The sequence below is a fragment of the Homo sapiens genome, chromosome 20 (assembly GCF_000001405.40).
Source record: "Homo sapiens chromosome 20, GRCh38.p14 Primary Assembly".
NCBI lineage: Eukaryota > Metazoa > Chordata > Mammalia > Primates > Hominidae > Homo > Homo sapiens.
In genome coordinates this window covers 5263960-5266573 of record NC_000020.11, presented here as the reverse complement: position 1 = coordinate 5266573, position 2614 = coordinate 5263960, and the positions used below count along the sequence as shown (strand labels likewise).

General features: G+C 45.9%; 1 annotated feature.

Annotated features, from left to right (window-relative positions):
- Window positions 419-920: an enhancer, noted in NCBI's record as "OCT4 hESC enhancer chr20:5246300-5246801 (GRCh37/hg19 assembly coordinates)". NCBI's record gives its function as "activates a minimal SCP1, AML or CMV promoter by ChIP-STARR-seq in primed H9 embryonic stem cells {active_cell/tissue: H9 hESC(primed)}" and the evidence as "EXISTENCE:reporter gene assay evidence [ECO:0000049][PMID:30033119]".

Here is a 2614-nt window from a genome sequence, read left to right as displayed (position 1 = left end):
TTTTTTTTGAGACAGAGTCTCACTCTGTCACCCAGGCTGGAGTGCAGTGGTGTGCTCTTGGCTCACTGCAACCTTCACCTCCCTGGTTCAAGGGATTCTCATGCCTCAGCCTCCCGAGTAGCTGGGACTATAGGTATGTGCCACTGTACCTGGCTAATTTTTGTATTTTTTGGTAGAGACAGGGTTTCACCATGTTGGCCAGGCTGGTCTTAAACTCCTGGCCTCAAGTGATCCACCCGCCTTATCCTCTCAAAGTGCTGAGATGACAGGTGTGAGTCATTACACCTGGCCAAAACTTTTTAAAAGGCATAACCACAAAAATAAAGGTAGCGAGAGAGGCAGCACCAGCCACCATGTTTTGGAAGCTTGGTAGCAGTAGCAAGAGGGATAGCTGAATTAGTAGACTTGAGAAAGTGGAATTCAAGGCTAGTAGTGAGGAAATTCAAGAAGCAACCCCCTTTGCTCAGCAGAACCCCTGAAAGTTTCAGGCATTGGCATCATAACAGAAGGTGATGCTGAAAAGAGAATGAGGTCGAGAGTCTGGTTACAAAGCAAATAGACACCCAGATTCTCCTCCTCGGTACCATCCAAATATGGGAGGACTTTCCCCAGAGAGAACAAAGTGGAGGCACTGGGCACAACCAAGGTGCCACAGTGAAAACTGGAAAATAAGCAAAAATCCGTCTACATCCTACATGTGAACACCACAACCCTTGTCCTCCTCTGGCCCCCAGAATTCTGGTTATACATAACAAAGGCAGGGAAGAAACTCCTAGCTGACTGAGTTTACATGTGAAATGACTGAAAAATCTGCAAATAGCTACATTTGCCTGAAGTGACTGAATTAAGCATTAGGTATTCTGGTAGAAAGGGGGGGCTGTCTCGGTTTGGGTTACCCCAGAAGCAGACTGTGAGGCAAAGATTTGAGTGCAAGCGGCTTATTTGGGAAGTAGTCTCAGAAAATACTAGCAAGGGAGTGGGGAAGTGAGGCATAAAGTCAGCCCGTAAAGGCTGGGCAGATACTGCTGTGGGCACCTGGGACATAGTCTGTGAGACCTCTGGGAGACTGCACAGAGCATCCCTTGGAATTCTCACCCACCATCAATAGGAACGAAGAAGCTGGGTCAGTCATTAGCTAAGTCTGCTTCCTGGTTAACTCTCTGGTCCTTCCAGCCCACCCCACCCATCAGGAGTAGCCAGAGAAAGCCCTCAGGCAAGGAGGTACAGTAAGAAGCCACAGGGTTAGCATATACTGGAATAATGAATGCTGAGGAAACATTGTGGGCCATCAACGGTGTCAGCTACAGAGGTTCAAGATGATTAAATTCTTTTAGAAAACAAAGGAAACTTCCATTTTGCAACTCCGAGTTCTGTGGCCTTGAAATATAATGCCCGTTACAAACACAAATAAGAGAATTAAAGATGAAGAAGCGGTAATTTTCACCCCCAACACAGGATATTTTTCAACACCGGATGGAAACTGTGGGCCTCACAGCCTACAGAGGGGTGAAACGAGAGGGCAGTAGTCAGGGGACAGTGGAGTGCACTGCAGTATGGGAAGCATGAGAGGCTGCGGGACACAGACAGCATCCCTCTGGGGACTCCATGTGACTCCAGCCACATCTCAGTCTCTCTACCCTGCCCTGTGGTGCTCTGGGGTCTTGTGCCCATTGCTTTATTTCTCCATGAAAGTATTCTCCTGCTGTCTCCCATGCACGGGTGAACAATCTTCACCACAAAGCTGATGATATACACTTTCTTCTCCATGACTTCCCAGAAATTCCCTCTTATTTCCCTGGCTACTCATCCTTAAGAATTGACTTCCAGGAAGTTCTTGCTAACTTCCATGTTATCCCCAGGCTGGGCAAGTTGAACCTCTTCCAGCAGCAATGCGTATAGATCTGCCTTTTTAATTTAATGCTACATAATATTCTGTTGTATGGATCAACCACAATGTATTTAATTGGCCCCGTATTAACCCAAACGTCTTGTTAAATTCCTACCAAGAATGAAGTGCTAGGGGTACAAAATTTAATGAGACACAGTACCTATAAACAATGAATTCAGCGTGATGTGGTAAGCTGACATTTAACAACTTGATGTCGTTTGAATATTTGTCCCCTCCAGACCTCATGTTGAAATTTGATCCTCAGTGTTGAAGGTGAGACCTAATGTGAGATGTTTGGGTCAGGAGGACAGATCCCTCGTGAACAGATTAATGCCCTCCCTGGGGGCAAGGGTGGGTGAGTTCTCCTTCTATGAGTTCCTGAGAGGACTTGTTGTTAAAAAGAGCCTGGCATCTCCCCTGCTCTCTCTTGCTTCCTCTCTCACCATGTGATCTCTGCACATGCCCAGCTCCCCTTCACCTTCCACCATGAGGGGAAGCAGCCTAGGCTTTCATCAGATGCCCAAACTTTCAGCCAGCAGAATCATGAGCCAGATAAGACTTTCTTTGCATAACTTACCCAGCCTCAGGTATTCCTTTACAGCAACACAAACTAAAACAACAACTAACCATGATTAAATATGATCAGAGCTATGAGGGCATTATTAGCCAAATGTAACAAAAAAAAAAAAAAAGAATTGAAAGCAAATAAAAATGTTTGGATCTGAG